Below are 23,027 nucleotides of genomic sequence, written 5' to 3'. Positions count from 1 at the left end.
TTCCCACAGCCTCTCCTACATCCAGCAGCCCAGGGAACCCTTCCAGAACAGAGCTCAGATCTTCCTGCTTCCCAGCTCAAACCCTCCAGCGGCTTCTCCTAGTCTCTGCACACCCCCGCGGTGCTGCCATGGCCTGGGGGGCCTGCCCTGGCTCCCACCCCCTCTCCTTACTCTTCCCTTCTGCTCTGTGCTAATCCTTCCCACCAAATCTGCCTGCCAGTGGCTCTCGCCAACAACCTCCACTCCTGCCCTAGGGCTGGCTTCCCTCCCGCCTAGAGTGCTCTCTCTTAGCTCCAGACCAGCTACCCCCTAATCACCCTCCCCTTGTTCAGAGAGAGGCCCCTCACGCATGCTAACTCCCCAGTCAATCCACATTCTTCTTGCAGAGACTCTTATGCTATCTTGTGTATTGACTCAGTCTGCTCAACATGGTTGACAATTACGCATTTATTTGAGTGAATTTCCAGACAATCACCCTTGTGGGCCTGCTAGCCCCATGAGAGCAGGGCCCCTGTTGTGTTGATCATGCCTCATCATGCATGGCCGTGGCCTGCCATGTGGCTGGGGGCTGCATGCTTGAAGGACGCCTGGGCTTTGGGTCCCATTACTCTTCTGAAACATTAGCAAGACAAGAAGTGTAACATTTGGAATGAGTAAAATTTGTACTCAGTACCAGGTAAAATCAAGCCTGGGAAGCTGTTTCCCCCAGGCAGGTGCTTTGCACACCTTTGGAGTTTAACCAGCTCTTGTGAAACTGAGTTCTGGGCTTCTTCAAAATCCACATGGAACCATGGGTGCAAAAGGCAGCTGGTTTTGGTTTTGGTTTTGGTTTTGGTTTTTTTGAAAGAGGGTCTCGCTCTGTCGCCCAGGCTGGAGTGCAGTAGTGCAATCATGGTTCACGGCAGCCTCAATCTTCTGGGCTCAAGCGATCCACCTGCCTCAGCCTCTCGAGTAGCTGGGACCACAGGTGCATGCACCACTACATCCAGCTAATATTTTAAATAATTATTTTTGTAGAAAACGGGGTCTCACTCTGTTGCCCAGGCTAGTCTTGATTCCTGGGCTAAAGTGATTCTCCCACCTAGGCCTCCTAAAGTGCTGGGATTATAACTGTGAACCACTGCACTTGGCCTAGAATTTCTTTAAAACCCACAACAAGGGCCTCAGGAGTCTGGGACCTGGGCACCCTGGCCCTGCCTATGCAGAGGCCTAAGGAAAGGATGAGCTCGCAGATCTCGGGGGGCTTCCGTCTCGGGGGGGCTCCCGTCTCTGCTTGCACTTGCACTGCGTCCTGTTGCTGCACCAGGAAATCCAACACGAGCCCCAGAAAAAAAAATCTCACCCCACAGGTCCCCATCCTTGCCGGGTAATCAGTGCTATGGCATTTCCCTGAGAGAGGTGAGGGGCCGAGGGGTGGGTGGTGACGGGGGCTTGTCCAGGGACTCGGCAGAGCCAGGGGGCAGGCTCAGGCTCAGGCTCAGGCTCATGCTTTTTCCCGACTCTCTGCTCTGCCCCAGCCTCCTCCCAGCCTGGGTTTGGTGAGAACCTTCCCATCCCAGGGGTGCCCATCCACAGCCCCATAGTAAACTGCAGGCAGGGAAAGGACGCTCTCACACAGCATCCCACTTTGCTCGCGATGCTGCAAACAGGCGTAATAATTCCCACTTTGCCCAATGCAAGTGTGCCAACTCCAGTACATTCAGAGAGTTGCTCTAGTTCATTCAACCATTTTTCTCTAGATGATGGCTGGATTAAGCGGGGCCCTTGCTTGACCTGGGCATGAAAATAAGCCCCCGCAGGGAAGAATTCTCAGGCCTCAATCCACCCCCAGTAGTCAGCCCTGGAGACCCATGTCTGAGTCCTAGGGCTGCAGGTCCATGTAGAAGCCCTCTTTCCAACCAGCCCACCCAAGCTGTGCACTCCAAGTTTACCAGCGGCCCCCGCACGTTCTCCACAGATACACTGGGATAACTAGGGGTTTGAGCTACAAGGCCTTTTCTTTATTCTTTAATTTTCATTTGCTTATTCAATAAATACATATTGAACTCCCTACGTGTGCAAATTGCTCTGCCGTGTGCTATACAGAGGATAAAAAGAATCAAAAAGCACATCAAGGCTCGGGCCTGAAGGAGCTTGCAGGTTCACTGGGGAGTCAGGGCCTCACTTTTAATCCTATTTTGCAGTTATTTATACATATAAATACAACCAGGAAGGCAGCATGAACATTTGAGGAAGGAAGAGATTATCGCTGGCCACAGAGGATTAGAGGAAGATGTGTGGGAGGGGAAGTACTTGTGGCTGGTGTTTTTGGAGCAGAGTGAGCTGGGAGGGGGTAAGATGTGACTGGCAGAGCCAAGACCGTGGGAAAGGGAGGGCTGCGCACAGCGCAGCGGGCAACAGGAGGCCAAGGGAGAAGGCGGTCACAGCCTGGAAAAGAGGTGAGAGAGCTTGAACTTTCTTGGGGTAGGCAGTGGGGAGCCAATGACAGTTCTTGAGCAGGCGAGGGGCAACATCAGAGCTGTGGTTTAGGAGAACTGATGGGGCAACTATGTGAAAACTATTTCTGTCAACGGTCTCAGGGACACCTCTGCAGCCTTTACCATGTGCCAGGGCACATCCCAAGCCCTTTACAAACATTAACTTTTTCTCCTGACAACCCTGGGAGGTTGGCATTTTTCTTACCCCTGTTTTCCAAATGAGGAAAGTAAGGCGCAGGTAAGGCAGCTTGCCACTGTAGCAAGTAGGGAGCTGATCTGGGGCCTTAAGGAACCTCAGCGCCAACCCTCTTCCTCTAAGCTCTGCTCCCCTCAATCTGACCAGCAATGGCAAAGGCTGAAGATCACCGTGGAGACCCTCAGGAGGCGGGCCCCAGGGCTGAGCTGCAGTGACACAGGGAAGGGGAGCCAGCTCCGAGGCCAGAGGCAGGGGTAACAGGGGCTGTGCCCCATTTTCAGGAAGATGGGACCCCGGAGGAGGCGGCAGCTTGTCGAGGGGCTTACTGAGGCTCAGATGGCTGCACTGCATGAGTCAAGCCAGGGTAGGGCTTCAGGGAGCAGAGGAGCAGGGAGGAGCTCACCTCACACCTCACACAGCAGGCAGAGGTGCCCACTGTACAGCAGGCAGCCTGGGAGGAGAGACCTCCGTGTGCAGCCTCCTGAATGTCCCTGGCTATTCAGTGGGCTGTCTTATCTTTTTAAACCTTTCTGAGCTCTTAGGCCAGTGCCACAGGCAGAATAAAGCTGCCCACCCGGTGCAGTGGGTGCTGAGCCTGCATACCAGGCTCCTTTCCTGCAAAATTGGATGGGCGAGACATTCAACCAGGAGAGTCCCAAACCTGGGGCCCAAATTGGTCCCCTCTCCCAATAGGCGTTCTCACCCCACTGATGCACATCGCACCCTCCCTCCCACACGCTCCAGGCTGGAATTCCAGGGATGACTTCTCTCCCCATCTCCCCTATGTGAGTGTCACGGAAGAAAAGACCTGCTGTGACCAGCTTTTGAAGTGACTTCAGCCCAGTATGCTTTTCTTGTCTTCTTCTAGCAGCCAGGAGGCCTGGTCCCACCATGCCTTGCGTGCTGTGGCAGGCTTTTGTAAGGGTGTGCTCCTGCCGCTGGTGCGGAGCTCACCCAGGTGTAGAAGAGAAGCCCCTCTACCCGGCCCTCTATCACCCTCAAGGGTCGCCAAGCACGCGGAGCTCATACGTGTAAGCAAAGCAGGACGGCTCCCAGGGAAGTTGAGGTGAAGACGGCTGCTGCAGGCTGAGCTCCATCACGCGGCTCAGCTTGCAGGCGATGGACGGAGGAGTCGAGAAACAACATTGCCATCTGTGCCGGTGGACAGAAAGCCAGATGGAGGCTGAGTGCTCGGGGAAGAGGAAACGCCACTGTTTCGGGCCTCGGAAGCAGAAGATGCTTCCCGGGCCTTAGAAACCTTGTCCGGGGGAAGGTGAGAGCCTTGGCCCTGCCACCATCACTGACCCCTCTTGGGTGCTGCCCTTCTCCTTCCTTCCAAGAACACCCGAAAGACAGATCATGCATCATATTCAGCATCGCCCACAGGTGCCACTCCAGCCCCATCCAGTGCAGTCCGAGCTCCTGCAGTGACGAGGCCTGACATTCATTCATGGGCAGACCTGGACAGACTCCTTAATCCCTGTCTCCACTTCCTACTTTGTAAAATACCATACGCCCAAGGGATGGTGGAGAAGACTGAAGGAGATACAGTCAGATGAGTGCAGGCTGTCAACACACCATCCCTGGAACCTAGGTTTGAATCCTGACTCCACCCCCTTCAGGCTGTGTGACCTCAGGCAAGTCACTTAACCTCTCGGGGCCTCTGCCTCTGCTGATTTAAGATCAGAGGAATGCCTTCTTCCCAGGACGTGTGTCCTGTGGGCCTTATGAGATTTAATTCAAGTCAGCTGTCAGAACCTGGCTCCCAGTATGGACGCAGCGCTGTTAATAGTGAGGCAGGAGGCTCAGTAGGGCAGGCCCTTCCTATTCCGGGGCTCAGCTGAGGCACTCCTTTCATCTAAGAAGGAGCATCTGAGCGGGTGCCTCTCTTCCTCCACACAGAACAAGTGCATGGGTTCAGGGCCCTGGCAGGTCTGTATTTGGATTTTAATTGTCATGATTGAAGGGGCCTTTTGCAAATCGCTCTCGCTTTTCCTGGGCTGAGCCAAGTCAATACTCGGTACGTGATCGCTTACAAAAGCCGCTAATTGGAGCTCCGGCAAGGGCCCTGCTCGCGACGCACACACCTCGCGTGAACCGCTCCATTCAGCTCCCCCCGCCCCCACCTCCTTTGATCCACATCTCATAAGGGCATCTTGCCCTAGAATTATGAGCACAGAAATCAGAACAAGAATCTTCTTTGCGTTCTATTTCTGGCTCTGACACAGACGACGGCGTGTGGGCAGCTCACAATGCCAGAATTTTCTCTGGTCTCTGGGAAATAGCACAAGTCACAGTGGCCTTCTCCTATCCCTGCCCACAAGGAGAACAAGGGGAGGGGTGGGCTGTCCTGGACCAGGTCAGAGATGGGTCAGGATGAACCGAATCCTCCCAAGGCCGGCCCGCTGGGATTTCCCGCGCTCGGAGCAGGATCTGTGTTCCACATCCCATTCTTCCAGAACAAGGAGGGCGGGCCTCTGAGGACAGGAAGACGGCTGTGCAATTGGACTTGCTCCCCACTGGACTGCATGCCATGTGAGGACAGGGGTTGAGTTGATTTGGCTGCCTGTGAAGGGTCCCACTCCCAGCACAGCCCTGGGCACACGAGATACTTTGGTCAGCTGAATGAATGAATGAATGAATGAATGGTTGAACAGGTGAACAAGCGAATGAGATTCTGTTGGGCAGCTTCTCGCTGTCCTGTGACCTGCTTCTGTTGGGTTCTAAACCCAGGCTTTGGAAGTGATGACTCTTGGGGCCATCCAGCCTTGGGGAAGCACAGACCCACGGCTCCCCGTGACACTGACGTCTTGGGTATGCAGATCATCTGAAGGCGGCATTGCATTTTAAAAATCACGTGAAAACCCTGAGCCAAGCCCTGGGGGTTCTGCTACCTTCCCAGCCCTAATTCTAAGAGTAGAAGGGGGTCTGGGGTGGGGGCTGCCCACTTTGTTGGAGGCGGGGCAGGAAATCCCACAAAATTTTCTTGAGGCAAAAATAAGCATTTTAACAGCTTCTTAATTTTTCTCAATCCAAACAGATTCTGAAATGCCCTGCTGGGCAAAGAAGAGTCCAGAAATCCTATTTTCATTCATTTGTGGGGAATTTGGACCCCAAGAGGCCATAGCCAGAAGTCCAAGCTAAGATGTCTATTTGGAGACGCAGTTCCTCCAAGGATCTCCCAAGAGCGTCAGGGGAAAGAAAAGAAACAGCTCCAATTTTCGAAGCAGACTGTAACTTACTAAGCCTTCTCTCACCTCTCTGGTCTGGAGAACTGACTGAGGCCTGGTGTGGAAGATCATCTCCATTGTATTAAGGAGCCCACTGAGGCTCTGGACTCTGTGACTCACCCCAGGTCTCGCGGAAGGGCCAGGGGTTCACCCTCACTCCCTCACTCCTGCGTTGCTGTGAAGCCGCTCTCACCTGCCTGCACAGGCACAGTGGGGCCTGGCACAAGGGACACTCTCATTGACAGTAAGTTACAGCACTGAGAGGCTGTCTGTAGGCAGAGTGCAATTCTGGGGGCCCCCGAAGGAGCCCAAGTTGGGCCTCTGGGGCTCAGAGAACTGAGGGACAGCTGGCAGGCCATGTGAGGGAGGGGGCCCAAGGTGGGAGGGCAAAGCCACAGGGCAGGGTAGCTTGGAGGTCCCCTCTCCAGCAGCCACATACAATTTCTCCCTTTCCCTTTCACATAGGCATGGCCTTGCCCAGGTGGGCACATGTGACACCTCAGCCATGCCAGGTCTTAGAAGGATGGTGGCATTAGGGCCTCTGGAACCTGTCTGGCCTCATCAGCACAGTAGACTGGAGGGAAGGTCCTAGCACCAGCTGCTCCCTTCTCAGTCTCTTCTAGGGAAGGGAAAGGAGAATTTGGCTGTGCCCCATCCCCACATCATGGGGCCCTTCGGGCAAGAGGGGCTGGCTGAAAGCTGTTCCCTGTATGAACATTCAGAGACCTAAGGAAATGTGTGCCCTGTACCTCCCCATGCAGCCTCTCCCCAAGAGCACATCCTGCTGGCACTCAGAAAGGGGGCTCCTGCATGTGGGGCACAGGCTCCCGCCTCCCTACTCTGTCCCTAAGGCTGCTGCCTTTATCGGGAAGGGAGGCCTCCTGGCCACCCAGGGGGTGTCCGATGGAAGGGCAGCATGGAGAAGAGGGCTACAGGTGACGCCCAGCCCCTCTCCAGGAGGGCTCCCAGCCTCCCAGGACCCACCTGAGCTGAAGGACAGGGGCGGAAGGGTAGGGGCAATTCTTTCAGGAGCTGAGTTTGGCCTGAACTTTTCTCCAGAAACAGCCAGAAAACAGTGGCGGCCCTGTGTGCTTCTCTAGCCTTTGTCTCAGGCAGGCTGGAGCCCAGGTCCCAGGCCTTTCTGGACCAGCCTGCTTTGGAATGAGCCAGCTCTGTTGGGGACCCTGTATGTTACCAGCTAAGCTTTTGGGTCACAGGCCCTAAACCACCTGCTTCTCCCTCCTTCTCAAGCTGTTCCCTTAACTCCTGCAGGCTGAGGAAGCCCCAAAGCCCTTGACTTTCTTACCTGTCACGCAAAATGTTCACACCTTTCTGAAGTCTCTGGGGACCACTAGAAAGGCAAAGAGCTGAGGATCTGCCTGGGTCTGCCCGGCAGTGACAACATCTTGTAGGAGTTTGAGCAAATGTCAGCTCTTCAGTTACTTTAAAAAACACAATCAGGCCAGGCACAGTGGCTCACGCCTGTAATCCTAGCACTTTGGGAGGCTGAGGCAGGTGGATCACCTGAGTTCAAGAGTTCGAGACCAGCCTGGCCAACATGGTGAAACTCCGTCTCTACTAAAAATACAAAAATTAGCCGGGCATGGTGGTGCATGCCTGTAATCCCAGCTACTCAGGAGGCCGAGGCAAGAGAATCGCTTGAACCCGGAAGGCGGAGGTTGCAGTGAGCCAAGATTGTGCCATTGCACTCTAGCCTGGGCGACAGAGCAAGACTCTGTCTCAAAACAGAACAAAACACAACAAACAAACAAAACCTAAAACCTAAAATAAATAAAATTAAAAAATCAAAACAAAAAACAAATGTTCTTATGGTGAAAACATTTGCAATCTCCTTTTAAGTCAAGGAGTCGAGTTTACGAGTGAGACTAAGAGGACATACCCAAAAGGGTCAGGGACATACTTTGTGATTAGGGGAAAGAAGGGCTGCAGGCAGAGTTTGATCCAGCCAAGCAGGGGATGAGAACACTGGAGCACCAAGTGCAGGAAGGGCCAGGTCTGAGCATTGCTTGAGATGTCTGTTCTGAGTCCCTCTGGGTATCCAACTCCAGGCTGCACTCACAGCTCAAGAAATGCTGGCCCAGGCAGGGCCCAGATGTGGCTCAACATGGAAGGTCAGATATGGCTGGTGTTTTCCTCCTGGGAACACGGGTCCTTTCCCCAGGCTTCTGGCTTCTGAAAGGTGGCCTGGGGGTGGACAATGCCTTTGCTAGGTGCAGAGGGGCAGCCCCGCAGAGGTTCCTGATATCTGGGTTAACAGTAGGCACTGTGTGCCTTCCAGGAATCAATCACACACGCAACAGCTTCGGCAGAGGCAGCGGCTTGTGTTGTTGCTTTTCTTGAAAATTTGTAAAAATGAGAGGGATCAAGAGGAAGGTAGGCGCTCTCCCAACACCCGCTTCTCTGGGCTCCAGGCTGGGTGAGCTGCGGATTCAGCCTGGCTCTGGAACAGCTGTGCCGAGCTGCTCTGCCTGGAATTCTGTGTCAGTGTCTGTGTGCTATTTTGTTTCCCCAGGAGCCAAAGTTAACAATAAAATCTAAGTTTACAAGACACCTTGGCTACAAACGCAGCAGCAAGCTTGTTTGCTCCCTGTCTCCTCCTCTAATAGGATGTTAAATAAACGATTAGCAATCATGGAAATCTTCCGGAAACTTCCATTCTTGTAGGGGTGGAATCTGCGAGGTGCACAGGCAATACCGACATATCCGGCAGAGTCCCCTGCCCTCTGCGGACGCTGTGGACCTCTTACTGAACGCCTGTTTCTTTAAGGCTTCTCTCTTCTGGGGTTGCGTGGGGGTCATTGCTCTAAGAGCTATGTTTTGCTTACACAATGGGGAGTAGAAGGAAGGGAGGGTACTTTTGGGGCTGAACTTTTTTCCTCCAAAAGATGCTAACGTCCTCACGCAAGTGCCTGAGAATGACACCTTATTTGGAAGAGGATCTTTGCAGATGTGACTAAGGAGCTCATCCTGGGTGATCAGGGTGGCCCCTAAATCCAACAACAAGTGCAATGGGTTGAATTATGCACCCCCAAATGAATATGCTGAAGTCCTAACCTCCACTACCCGTGAACTGTGACCTTATTTGGAGATAGAGCCCTGAAAGAGGTAATCAAGTTAAAATGAGGCCATCGGGGTGGGCCCTCATCCAATAGGACGGCTGTCCTCATCAAAAGGGGAACTTTGGACACAGACACGCACAGAGGAAAGACAATGGGAAGGCTCGGGTGGAGACAGATTCTCACAGCCCCAGAAGGAACCAGCCCTGCTGCTGCCCTGGTCTCTGATGCCTTCCTCCAGACTGGAAGACCCCATACTTCAACGAGCAACTGTCAGCAGAGTCCCACCCCGTGAGTCTCGAGGTCACCCTGTAGGCACAGCTCAGAGGCCAGGAGCCGAAAACCTAGCTCACCAGGAAGGGCCAGGGCACAGGAGTGTGTGGGGCAGCAGCTCCAAGTCTCACAGGGCAGCCCGCACTGGCCAGCTGGACCCCCAGGCCCCAGGTCTGCACTCGCAGGAGGAGTGACGCCCTCGAGACTCGGGCCCTGCCCTGTGCTCCCCTCACTCCGACCTGCACCCTTCTCACGAGAAAGGGAGACTCATCTGCATCCCGGGCTGTGAGGCTGGGCCCGCTTATTCATTCACCATGGATGCTGTGTAGGCTGTGGGAAGTTGAGATGGCTGAGTTTATTAATTAATGATCCGTCTCTTGGTGTTGATGTATAATTCATTTCAATGATTTTTTTTCCAGGATGTATCAGAAGACTCGGCCCTGAGCTCACCAGGGCTGGAGTGAGCAGGAGGGCAGTGGGCAGCGTCCTCGGGGTCTGCAGGCCCTACAGAGCCTCAGGGGATAATGGAAACATGGATGTGTGGTCTGGCAGCTGGGCCCAGGGCCGATGGAGCCCCGGAGAGCTCCCATGTCCCCGGTGACAGGACGCTGGTTTCAATAGGGAGCAATGACAGAGAGCCCATCGGCAGGGAGGCCAGACTAAGTGAGCCCCAGGCCCAGGGTGGAGGGAAAACCTGACCACCCAAAAAAGCCAGTGCAGTGTCCTCTGAGGAGCTGGGGCCCAGCAATCAGCAGCCCAAGATAGAAGTTTCCAGCAAGTTGCAAAATGACCTTTCGCTGTAGACGGACCCCTGGGCTCTGCAGTTGTGCCTGAGGGTCTGTCCTGCTCTTTCTGCCTTTCCACGGAGCACAGGGTTATTCAGGAGCTGCTCCCACGGACACAGCCCACTCTGGAGCAGGCCAGGCCCCCACGGCGACAGCAAGAGCAGGCTGTGATGGCCGCTCACACCCCTACACAGCATCGGGGCAGCCACTGGGAGCAGGTGTCACTCAGATGCCAAACCCCAAACCCGGGGCTGGGTGGGAACACGCAGGTGCATTTGGCTGTGGCAGTGTGAGTGCATTCCTCATGCTTAGACTAAAAGGAAACCACGAGCCACACAATGACTCCAGGGAAAAAGGGAGTTTGGAATAAACCCTCCAGCATGCCATCGGAAGGGCCCCGTGCTCAGCCAGGGTCCGCTGGGGCCCAGGGCTCCTCTCCAAGCTGCCAAAGGCCATGTCTCATTGGCTTCCAGACTCAGACCCCCTGCCCACGACCCTCATTTCCCTGTGCATTCACCCATCACCCACAGACCCTCGCCTGGTTCCAGGCTCTCCTAGTTGTCTTTGCCAAGTAGCAAATGACCACACACTTAGAGGCTCGAACACCACCTGTCAGTGATCTCTGGTTCTGTGGGCGAGTTCTGTTCTGGAGTCTGGCTATGGCTTTGTTAGGTCCTCTGCTCAAGGTCCCACAGGGAACGGAGGCGACCAGGGCCCTGCTGTTCAGAGGCTCCGTGTACCACCTGGGGCTGGGCTGTGCTGTCATCTGCAATCACCTGCAAGCTCAACTAGAGAAGTTTCCACTTTCAAGCTTCTTCCAGGCATTGGCAGGATCGGCTGAAGGACCGAGCACTAGGCCTCTTGATGGCTGTGGACAGGGGCCGCCCTCACTTCCTGGACACCCGCTAGCCCCCACTACATGGGCCCCTCCAGGCCAGCAGTATGGAGACTTAAATTACTAAACATGGGAGAGTCCCATCACTGCTGCTACAGCCTTGCGTTAGGGGCAGGTCACGGCCCCATCCACACTCCAGGGGAAGGGATTCCACAGAGGTGCAGATGCCAGCAGGTGGGCACCCCAGGTCCACCTCAGGGTCTTCCGGGCACCCAGGTCCTGTGTCAGGGACGTGGTCCCCAGCAGCACGCCTCTGCTGCCCAGGGGTGAGAATATGGTTGTAGAGGCAGACATGCAGGTGGAGGACATCAGTGACCAAGTGCTACAGACACAGACGGGGTCAGCGCAGCATAACTGGAGAGGCCCTGGTCCACGTGCCTGTGCAGTCAACGCCATTTAAGGGAGACATTAGCTTTCTCCGCACTGTCCCCCACAGGAGAGGGCTGGAGGCAAACGCAATGGGCTGGGACCCCTGAAACACAGGGAAGGTGGGGCCGGGAGCCCTCCACACTCCCTGGGATCCCGAGGGGACAGAGGGGGCCAGAGGCCACACTATTCTGAGGCTGTGAGGCTCCTCCTGGCCTCTCCTGCTGCCCGCTGGGCTGCAAAGATGCAGCGTTCGTCTCCTGCTCTTCACCCACCTGAGCCTGGGAACGGCCGCCTGGCACAGTGAGAGCTGTGTGCGCCCCAGCTCCGAGCTGATGACTCACGGCGGAACAGATGTAACCCAAACTGCGAAGCAATGGCAACCTGCTGCCACAGGTGGCTCGCTGCGGGGGGTGGCCCACGCCGGGGGGCTGGGCTCCCGGGGGCTCTCACACAGGGATCCGCATCCCCCAGAAGCCACAGTGAGGACACAGAGGGGACAAGCCTGGCCCTCAGCTTCCCTCTGGGCCAAGCCTCTGCCTCTTGGAAGCTCTTCCGTGCCTGTTTTCTGTCCTATTTCATCAGACACGAAGGCAGCCCCATCCCCCAGGGACCCTGAAGGAGACCAGGCCCGAGCTCAGCAGCCGGCCGTGCAATGCAGGCCCCCGGCTCTCGGCTGCAGTTTCTCTGCCTCCCAGACCCACATGCTGAAGACACGGCTTCTGAAGGCAGCTTCCTGGGCCCCTCCTGCCTGAATCAGGATTTCTGGAGAGTGGAGACCAGAAATGTGCATTTAAAACCAATTCCCCAGGTGACTCCCACCCTCACTAGGGCCACACAGTGGGGGCTGAGGCTTCAAAACTCACCTTCTCTGGGTGTTCAGAACCTGACCTCTTCCTCCGGCCCAGACCCCACAACCGGATCTCCTCTAGGCTCCCAGACTTGCTGCCATCCCAGGAGCACCCACACCACCCCAGAAGCCTCCCACTCCCCACAACTCCTGGAAGCAGACTCTGCTCACCCCACTGGGCTCTGGGGTCAACTTCCCTAAATTACGCCATTATTCAAGGGTTCTCCCTCTAAACACAGGACGATGTTGGAATACCGCATGCACATAAACCCTGGCCACTGTGAGTTTCCAGTACTGCCCCCCAGGGTGGTACCCTCCACCACACCCTGGCACAAGCACGGCAGCCTTAAAAGATTCAGGGCCTGCCCCTGTGCCCAGCTCTCTCTAGGATTCAGGGCCTGCCCCTGTGCCCAGCTCTCTGCAGGATTCAGGGCCTGCCCCTGTGCCCAGCTCTCTCCAACTCTATGCGGGGCTGGCGATGGAGCTCCATTTCCTCCCCCATCCCGCAAGGACTCCAGGTCTCCTGGGGCCCTCTGCTTCATCCCAGGGGAGGCACTCTCCCAGGTGGGCCATGACCCCTGGAGGTGGGAGGTGTTATGGGTTGAGCTATGTCCTCCAAAAATTTGCATGTTGAAGCTCCACCCCCTAATGTGACTGTATTTGGAGATAGAGCCTTTAAAGAAGTAATTAAAGTTAAATGAGGTCATTAGGGTGGACTCTAATCCATGCTGACTGGTGTCCTTATAGAGGAGGAGACGAGGACACAGACACACAGAGGGACAACCATGTGAGGACACGGGGAGGAGACAGGGTCTACAAGCCAAGGAGAGAGGCCTTGGGAGGAGCCGGCCCTCCCGACACCCTGACCTCAGACTTCTAGCCTCCAGGACGGTGGAGAACATATTTTGATTGTTTGTGCCACTCAGGCTGGAGTGCTTTGCTGCAGCTGCCCAGGACACCGGCACAGGAGGCCCCCGGTTCCGTTGGCCGAGCAACTCCCGCCACCAAGGAAGGAGCTGGTGACCTCTAGGGTGACATCCTGGACATTCTGAGTTCTCTCCTAACCTCAAGCCCCCTCGAAGGGGAGGTGGGTGTGAACAGGGAGTCTACCTATTCATTAAACGTGTACTTTGAGCATCTGTCACAAGCAAGCCCTCGCCAGGCACCAGGGGGACCATGACGACAGCCCTGCCCGTGAGCTCCACGGGGCATCCATGGTGCACGAGAAGATGCGGGATTCTACACCAAGTATCCCAGATGGCCCACCCCACTCACATCCCTTCCCCACACACGGGAAGTGAGTGCCCACTGGAGCAGCCACTTAACCTGATGCACATCTGCCTATTCCAGGGAACTTGAAACCTTCTTTCCTGCCTGTTGGGGGCTGGAGGTCCCTTTACTACTCCTCTGCCGGGGTCAGAGGTTCCTGCTGCAGGCCGCTGTCTGCACCCAACACCCAGGGACCAGCAAGCCTTGGCTGAGCTGGCGCCCCAGGTGCTTCCAGCTCCCTGGACCCTGAGGGCTGGCAGGCAGTTTCATTGCTCGCTCTGGGCACAAGCGTGGGCAGTCCAGAGCCAGACAGTGTGCGCTGGGGCAGGCTAGCCCTGGGCCAAGCCAGCATATGCAGCCTTGCTTTGTGTCTGCAGCAAGAGGGGAGGGTGCTTGTGGAGAACTGTACCTCCCTCCAGTGTGGGCATCAGTGACTTTTAAAAGCACGGCACATTGTCACCCTGGCTTTTCATTTCCTCTTTCTCTTTCACCTAAAGATTGCAAGATCTGCATGGCTTTCAGCACTTAGGAACCCGTTCCCTGCAGCTGTCTCTAAGCCCAGAAGTTGCATTTTAAAAAACTGTTCAGACAATGGCTATGGAGCTAGCTGTGGGCCAGGCAGGGTGCTGGGAGCCAGGGGCACAGCAGGTGCAGGATCTGGGGGTGTGAGTTTTGTTGCGGCCCCTCAAGGAGTCCTGGGCTAGGTGACGGCCGGTGGAAAGCACCATGCAGGCAGATGACACTGGCAATTATTGATATTGGCGAGGGGCTGGGGAGGAGCGAGCAGGCCCACCTCTGGGCAAGTGCAAGTGGCCATAATATGAGAGACGTCATGGTAAATGCCAGTCGATGGAGACAAACCACCCAGGGGGTGCCCAGAGGTGGGGGCTTCAGAGAAAAGAGGGGTGGGAATGCAGGGTGGTGACCCCTTCTGTGAGCAGATGAGGATGTCCAGCTCATGACCAGGTGAGGGGCCATAGGTGGGACTAGGTATGCCGCCAAGGCCAGAGGGGACAGAAATCCTCCCTTGGCCACCTCCTCTCATGTCAGACCTCGCTCAAGTGCCCCCTCTCCTTGAGCCTTCCTCATCCCGGCCGCCATCACCACCACCGCCCATGGTTCCGCCTGGCATTCGCAGGTGCCCGCGGCCACCACACGTGACCTCTGTGTGCACCTGCTCCTTGTCCACCCCAGCCTGGGGAGGCCACCCAGCAATGGCAGGGGCCATGTCGGTGCAGTACCCATGGGATTTCATTCCTCCAACTATCACAGGCTCTCACAAGGAAAAGAGGAAAAAGGTCAGCCCTCGGGGAGAAACACAGAATTCGGAAACCAGGCTTTTCTTGGACACCTCTTGAGGTCTCTATAGCGAGCTCAGCCAACAGCACACATCAGGCTGGTTCTCATCCCTTAAGGACTTGGCTTCTGTATTGTCCCCGTTCCTCCGTCCCTGCCACATTGTCCATTTCCATTCTCTACTGGGTCATTCACGTTGGCAGAAAGACGTGCCTGAATACTCCCACGATAAAAAAAAAAATCAAAACGAAACAGAACAACCAAAATCCTCGTCCACCTCCATAGTCCTCCAACTACAGCTTCCCTTTCCCCAAACCCCTGCAGAGCAAAGCTCCTCAAAATATTCAGCTCCACCCACTGCATCTGCGGCTCACCTCCCGTCTCCCTTCCATCGCCCTCGCAGGACTCTCCCCTCACCACGTCTCCAGCAGCCTCCACCTCACAAAAGTGGCCTCTTTCATGTCTCTGGGAGCTCCGCCACGAGGACCCCTCCATGCTCTGGGAACAGCTTTCTCCTGCAGCCTCCTGGCCACCTCCTCCCGGTGGGCTCTTCCTTATCACCCCCAATTGCCCCTTCATTCTCCCCTCTTGCAGTCCCCGCTCTGTCCAAGTGGTCCCCACTGTCTCCATGGCCTTCCAGACCTTCCACACACCCGAGGCTCCGCTGAGCTTCTACTCCGGGCTGCACCAGCCCCCGAGTGGCAGACTCAGGAATCCAAGGAGTATCCACAGGCGCTCCCCTTGGACGGCCGCCAGGGTGGCTGGATGTCACAAGAGTGAAGGTCCCGTCCCAAGGGCTCCTTCCAATCTGCTGCTCCCCAGCTTCTGCCTCTCAATTAAATGCACCCCTTTCAGCTGAAGAAAGAGTTGCTCAGACTAAAACCTCAGGGACCCTCTAGATGGTTCTCTCCCTTACTCCCCAGCCGATGCTCTCTTGGGGCTCGCGTCCCACCTCTCTACAAGTTATCACGTCCCATCTGGTATCATTGCCTCCTGTCTTCCCCCTAGAATGCCCTCAGAGAGCAGCCAGTACCTCCGGCTCAGATCACACCACTCTTCAGTGTATCCCATGAGCCCCAGCATACTCAGAATAAACCCCAAATCCTCATGACGGCCTCCAAGCCTCCTGGAACCTTGCCCCAGCCCAATGCCCTGACCTGTCCCAACCCAACTCGCCATGACCTGCCTTTCCCAGCACACTGGGCCTGGATGTGACCATTCTGGGTGATCCAGGTGGGCCCTAAATCCAATGACAAGTGTCCTTAGAAGACAGACACAGGGAGACAGCCATGTGGAGATGCAGCCAGAGACTGGAGTGATGCGGCCACAAGCCAAGGAGCACCTGGAGCCACCAGGAGCTGGAAGATGCTGAGAAGGGTCCTCACCCAGGGCCTCCGGAGGGACCACAGCCCTGCTTGTATCATGACTTCAGACTCCGGCCTCCAAAACAGCTGGAGAATAGGTTTCTGTTTAAACCATGCAGACTGTGGTGATGCATTACAGCAGCCCCAGGACTCACACACAGATGAAGGCTGGGCCTCCCATGCACAAGATGCGTGTGAACATAGAGGACGAGGCTCCAGCTGGGTGAACGGCTGCTTTCGGAATGTCTAGGACTAGAGCAGAGATTCATAACAGTCACAGAATGAGGCAGGTATGGACGCCACAGGTCCTGCCGTGCACAGGACAAGTGTGCAAACCACGGATCGCCTCTGCGCTGTGAACTTGCACCTGCCCCGCGGCTCGGTGCTGCTAACCCACATGCTTGGAACCCAGAGGGCCTCCTCTGTGCCACAGATGAACCCAGGGAATTCTCCAGTGCCTGGCTGGAACACGCTGAAGTTCCCCCGCATGCAACCACCGAATAAATCAAAAGAAGACTGTGTGCATTTTTGTCCCAAACATCTCTGAAAGTTGTTCACCATTTTGGAAAGTCACCTGCCCTCAATGTGATGCAACTGTCCCAGCTGGTGTGGCAGACGTGTTCCCAGTGACCCTATGCAGAGGCCAGCCTTTGACCACCTCAGCACACATACAGATAAAATGCTGTATATATGCACGTAAGCACCGGACCCCTCCAGTGAAGATGGGCTGGGGCGCTTAAATGTACAAATACAGCGTTTTACCCTAAATTACTCTCCTTTGCATGTCTTCCTCAGCACAGTTAGGACACTATATCAAGCTTTTAAAACACAGATTATGTTTTCTCTGCAAGGTGCATTGGCAGTGTGTAAAGGGAGTGTCACAAAATCCATCACAAACTCGGGCACTGGCTCTGCAAGGGTTAGGAGAGTCTGGCCTTTCTTTCTCCTCCCTTTAGCCATCTTTGCCCAACCCAAGATTCCCCAGCAGCCCCTATCCACACATCCTCTCTTCTTCCTCCCTGCCATAGACAGCACTGACTTTCTCCTTGCAGAGGTGGGAATAAGTGACAAGGACCCAAAGTGGGTCTCAGCAGCTTGGCCTTGGTCTCAGGACACATCCATGAAATCTTGGCCAGGGACGCACCACAGGGTGTGTCTCTGAAATCACATGGTGGGGACATCCGACTCTTCCGTCCAGCCTGTCATGGCTTTGCTGATGGACAGGACCCTCTGGAGCTTCTAGAAGGGTCAAGAAGACCAGGAATCTTCTTTGATCAGTGGCCTTTACACACAGACCAAGAACTTCCACCTGGATCTAGAACCCACACTCAGGGCATCCTGATGCTTCAGGCGGAAGAGGTATGTGGTGGGAGGGTCCCCAAGCCCCAAAGAGCACCCCTAGAATCATGGAAAGTGCCACAGTCCTGGAGTCAGGAGAGCTGGGTTCTGCCCCAGTCCCCACTCACAAATGCCTGGGCTTCTCCCAGCTGCAGATCCCCCTCCTACCCCCTTCCCAGGGTGGCTTGGAGAACAGCACATCTGCTGGGCAAACTGTGAAGTGCTATTCCAGCTACGTAAAGGGAGGAGCGTGTGCAACTGTAAAGTGCTATTCCAGCTATGTAAAGGGGAGAGTCGTGCCCCTTGCAAAGGAAATGGTGCTGGCTCCAGCCCCCATCCCTGTCCCCCATCCTCTCCATGGGGCTCACACAAACCACGCCTCAGGTGTGTTGACCTGGCACATTAAGGGAGCCAGGCTGAGGGCTTCCTGAGGTAGGTCTGACCACCACAGTGAGAACTGAGGCCTTCCAGGGCAGGGAAAGATCATGATATGGACAGAATAGCACCGAGCATGCAGCCACACAACCTAACTGACCTCAAAAGAGGATACTGAAGGTCACAGAAAGCAAATGGCATTTTCCCACCACAAACACCATTCGATTACCCTGGCAGAGCCACCGGTGAGGTGGGCTTCGTGCATCTTTTAAGACCTGACTCAACTCTAGGGGCTGCATGCTCACTATGGCGCTCAGTTTCCCACATGTGCTGGCATGGTCCAGTCTCAGAACAGCCTTGTCACAAAGAAATTGCTTCCCCATTTTGCAGGCAAAGATTCAGAGGACCATGGGGTCACATGGTGGAGCCAAGGACACCTGCAGCCATGGCCTGGGTCCATCTGAGCCAAGGTGGGCGCTCTCTCCGCTGGCACCAGCTTTGTCCCTGACATGGCCCACCTATCAGTCACCTCTGGAGGGAGATTTTCAGCCTCTCTGTTCCTCCAACAAACTTGGCTTCCCCAGTGCTGAAAGAAACTTCTGGAAAGGGAGGCTTTTTCCCTTTATTTTGCATCATCACGTCCTTACACAGACTGCAAGGCGGACGGTTGTGAGATTCACTGAACCATGTTGAACCACATCGAAAGCGGGGACCCGAAGCCTGTCTTCATGTCTAACCACGTGGCACATGGGTCCATTACTCGTTCGTCTGCCTCTGAATTTGGCTGAGTCTCCGGGACTGAGTGTCAGTGACCACCTGGGGAGCCCTCAAACGTCACTTGGAACTTATCTGCTGCAAAGATGCGGGTGATGTTTTTTCTACCAGCAGGATTCACAGGGCAGCCTTTTAAGCTAGACATCCACAATGCAGGCCACTCCTGGGCAGAGGTGGGGCAGAGGGTTCCACCAGGAGAAGAGTGACTCATCATCACAAAATGGAAGCTTAAAATTGAGCCCACAGCCATGGTCCCACCAGGCCCCCAGCTTGCCTGTGTACATAGACCACTGAGCTCACTGCTGGGTCCCCAAGGACAGCCAACTGTGGACACCGGCAGGGAGGGAAGGGGCGCACCTCTCCAGCATTCTTCTTTCACTGATGACAAGTCGGGGAAGGGGATCCTCCAAAACCATCGTTCCCGCTCCTTGCAGAGGGAACACCAGGACTCGCCCATTCTTAGGGCAATTCGGAGCTAGAGGAGGGACCTCGGAGGTTGTCTTATTCAGCATCTGTTCCAGAGGCCAAGAAACTGAGCTGCCGGGAGGTGGAGGCCTGGCCTGGCTCCCTCCACAATCCAGGCCTGCAGGAGCTCTGCCTACTCTATCTCAGCCCCACCACACGCCCCCGAGATGGGCTCTTCCTATGCCTCCCCTATCCACCCCAGGGCTCGGCTCCAAGAAACCTGCAACGGCTCCTGTTTCCTTCCAATCTGTATTGCCAGAATAACAATTGGGCGATTGATGAAGCTGTGGCTTGGTGACATTTCCTCTACCATCCTTACCTGTCTTTTCTCTCTTGTGCAAGGATATGTCTTTATCTGTCTGGATTTCCCAACTGGAATTTTTTAACTCCTTGAAAAGAGGAGGAGGGGCCATGTTTTGCAACTCCTCATCCCGCTCCTACCCCGAGGTGTGGCATTTACTGTCAACTAAGTACAGAGCTGATGGTTCATTGAATAATTGATTAAGAAGCCAGACATTCTAAAACTGGTCCTTGTAACACAGTAAAACAAAAAGTCTAAAAATGGTATTCTGTCTAACATTTAATCTCTACACTCAGAATCATTCCCCTGTGAGCGGATGGCAATCATGAATTCAACCCACTATATATCAAACAGATTTGTTATCAGTCCAGGGTTTTGTGACATTCATGATGTAAGGAAAGGCATATCCTACAAGGGTGTGTTTCGTGCAGCCGCCGGCTACCCCACTAGTCAGTGACCCCATCCGTTCCCTTAAAGGAGACTGGTTTCCAGGTAGAGGAGAGTGTTCATTAAGGCCTTCCTCTTCTTGCTGGAAACTCCTGAACAGGTCAACAAGTAAAGGCACCTCTCCAGGCCTGGTGAAAGAAGACAGAGTTGAACCCAGCAGCTCTCCCACAGAAAGTGCCTTAGGAGGCCGGGCGTGGTGGCTCATGCCTGTAATCCCAGCACTTTGGGAGGCTGAGGCAGGTGGATCATGAGGTCAAGAGATCGAGACCATCCTGGCCAACATAGTGAAACCCTGTCTCTACTAAAAATACAAAAATTAGCTGAGCTTAGTGGCACGTGCCTATAGTCCCAGCTACTTAGGAGGCTGAGGCAGGAGAATTGCTTGAACCCGAGAGGCAGAGGTTGCAGTGAGCCAAGTGCCCCACTGCACTCCAGCCTGGTGACAAAACGAGACTCCATCTAAAAAAAAAAAAAAGGAAAGAAAGAAAATGCCTTAGGCTGGACATCTCAGTTCTTAAGGATTAAAGACCTTTCACATCCCTAGCATGCCCTTAGAAGGAGAATGAGGGCCTAAGGGAATGAAGAAGCTTAAGAAGGACTAAATGCAATAAGTTGAAGCCAGGAACATTTGACAGGGAAATGCAAGAAGACCTGCAACACAGTCGTGTCCAGAAGAATCAGAGGCTGGACTTTCATGAGTTGGAGCACACTTATCCATTTGGTATGAACACAAGTTTGCTCAGCAAAAACAGAGGGAGTGCTCTAACAGGCTGATTGGGTCCAGTGAGCTGTCGGCCAACAGAAAACCTCGACCACAGGCCACCACCCAGAACCACGGCACTCAGGATTTGCCACGCTGCATCCATTCAGAAGATCCCAGTTAAGACCCTAAAGACCAGCCTTGCTGTCTACAAAGTTTAGGATCTTTTGCAGCGCTCCAAGCACTGATTTGTTCTTTGATTCTCTTATCCCAATTAAACCACTCAAAACTTTTGAAGTTCATGAGTCATTTGCTTCAAATATCTTTAAATTAAGGACAGATTCACTTCCCTGGTAGCAAACACCCAGCAACTTAATTAAAATGGGCTCAGCATTTAAATGGCCATCACAGCTTTCAACCAAAGGGGAAGAGGATGTCTCTCCCTGTGACATCTGCTTCTCATTTTCTTCCACTCCAACTCTGGTGTTTAGAAAATAGTTCACCATCATGAGGCTTGCTCCTGAGGTTGGCTGGCTTGCATTGATGCTTAGGTCAGCTGACGGCTGGGGTGCAGAGAAAATGACACCAGCTTGTCACCTGTGCTTACCGAGGGACATACCTAAAGGACATGGAAGGCCTCCCCGCTCCCACTCGGTGACAAGGACAAAGCAAACTTGGAAATCATCCTTAGAAATGCATGAGTGAATTCCAATGTAAAAATTTCCAGGCCAGACTTGGAAGACATCTGAGCCATCTCATCCTTGAGCTGCTGGATGTCACGAATACGTGACTGATTGAACAGAGGTAAACCCTGAATGATGATGGGAACCTAGAGGATTTCAGGGCCCCTCCTGGGTGGCGAGGTTTCTGAGAGACAGAACATGAGCTGGGGAAAGCAGCGGATTGGCCTGAGCAGGCGGGAAAGTCTTGGGGCCAGATGCCAGCATGCACGGCCTAAGAACGTAAGGTTCAGGAAACCTTCATTGAGCACTAACTGTACACCAAGCACTCCTGCCCCAGGTATTCCCACAGTGGGCATATTCAGAAACCCAAATCAGTTGGCTTGAATTCCCCACAAGTTTCCTTTACACGTTTTAAGATAAAAGCTCAGAAAATGACTTTCTGTTTTTCTCCCAGGAGACTCTGTGATTCCAGATTCGAAACCTGACCAGCAAGAGAGCTGTCATAGAAGGCTGGGGCTGCACTGTGGGGAGCCTCCTCCCCAACCTCAAGCTAACTTCTGACCCATCTGACGGTCACACTCTGCCAGTGCTCACGTGAGGCTGGAGCTCAATGCCTCTGTGAACCTGTGCCAGGTGATTTTCCATCCCAAGAGGTTCTTGGCTAGTGCCATCTACACTTCTGTACAGAGCGCCAAGGTCAGGGACATGGCTGCAGGAACTCATCAAATGACCCCTCAATAGAGCAGTAAAGGTAGTGGCAGCAAATTAGCACAATGGTAACCATCATCATCATCACTATCAACAGCATCATCATCACTATCATCACTATCTCTATTATCATCATCATCTCCATCATCACCATCATCATCATCTCTCTATCACCACCATCATCACCACCATTTCCACCATTACCATCATTATCATCACCATCATCAACACCATCATCATCACCATTTCCACCATTACCATCATTATCACCATCATCATCAACACCATCATCACCATCATCTCCATCATCATCATCCTCATCATCATCCCCATCATCACCATCACCACCATCATCCTCACTGTCACCATCATCATCACCATCACCACCCTTACACTAACAGCAGCAGGCACATACTGAAAACTGTTATGTGCCAGGCACTGAGTACTTGGCACACTCTGTCTCACTGAATCTTTACAACAACATTATGAGATGGTTAACTCTATCATACCCACTGGCACAGAGAGGACAAGCAAGTTGCCCAAATGTACACAGCAATCATGAGCTGAAGCCAGGAATTTGAAGACAGGCAGTGGGACTCTTAACCATTACCCTGAAACTCAAAAAGATTTCCCAGTTACTTCATATGTATGGTGAATCCTGACAGGGGACCCTTTAATCATTCCAGCAGTTATCCCAAGTAATGTTACTTCCAGAGAAATTTCAGAGTGCCCCCAAATCACCAGCCACGTTTCCTCTCTGCACCCAGCAACAACCTGTGCTATAGACAGATAGAAAAATATGATATGTCCCTTCTAAATATTTATCTGCAGAAACAAAAATAAAATTTATAAATCCCCAAGTGTGATACCAAAGATCCCTTTTTGGACAGGTAAAACTCACTTAATGGATGTTTCATCCACCTCCTAAAACTCCAATTCCAAATTTTGGGGTGCCCCCCAGTATGTGGCAAAGCTGGCTGTGTCTGAGATGATAAAACTCCCAAGTCCCTGGCAGCCTGCTCTGCCTCTGACACTGGCAACCCTCTCTTCCTCAGGCCATTCTTGCTGGGTATAAAAACAACGAATAAGTATGGAGAATTGTTCAGCGCCAGGTGCCTTATTTTATGCTCAGTGTTCATCCACTAAACTCTCACAGCA

The 23,027-nt window shown here is 54.0% G+C and overlaps 1 protein-coding gene across 3 annotated transcripts in view, besides 1 other annotated feature; it reads right to left on the bottom strand.

Moving 5' to 3' along the window:
• AJAP1 (adherens junctions associated protein 1) overlaps positions 1-23,027 on the bottom strand; it is a 137,926-nt gene that overhangs the window by 53,791 nt on the left and 61,108 nt on the right. The gene's annotated exons all lie outside the window — the stretch shown is intronic.
• Positions 4,365-4,865: an enhancer, noted in NCBI's record as "H3K4me1 hESC enhancer chr1:4793939-4794439 (GRCh37/hg19 assembly coordinates)". NCBI's record gives its function as "activates a minimal SCP1, AML or CMV promoter by ChIP-STARR-seq in primed H9 embryonic stem cells {active_cell/tissue: H9 hESC(primed)}" and the evidence as "EXISTENCE:reporter gene assay evidence [ECO:0000049][PMID:30033119]".

The sequence above is a fragment of the Homo sapiens genome, chromosome 1 (genome assembly GCF_000001405.40).
Source record: "Homo sapiens chromosome 1, GRCh38.p14 Primary Assembly".
NCBI classification, from domain to species: domain Eukaryota; kingdom Metazoa; phylum Chordata; class Mammalia; order Primates; family Hominidae; genus Homo; species Homo sapiens.
The sequence above is the reverse complement of the archived record's forward strand: the minus strand, read 5'-3'. Positions and strand labels throughout refer to the sequence as shown.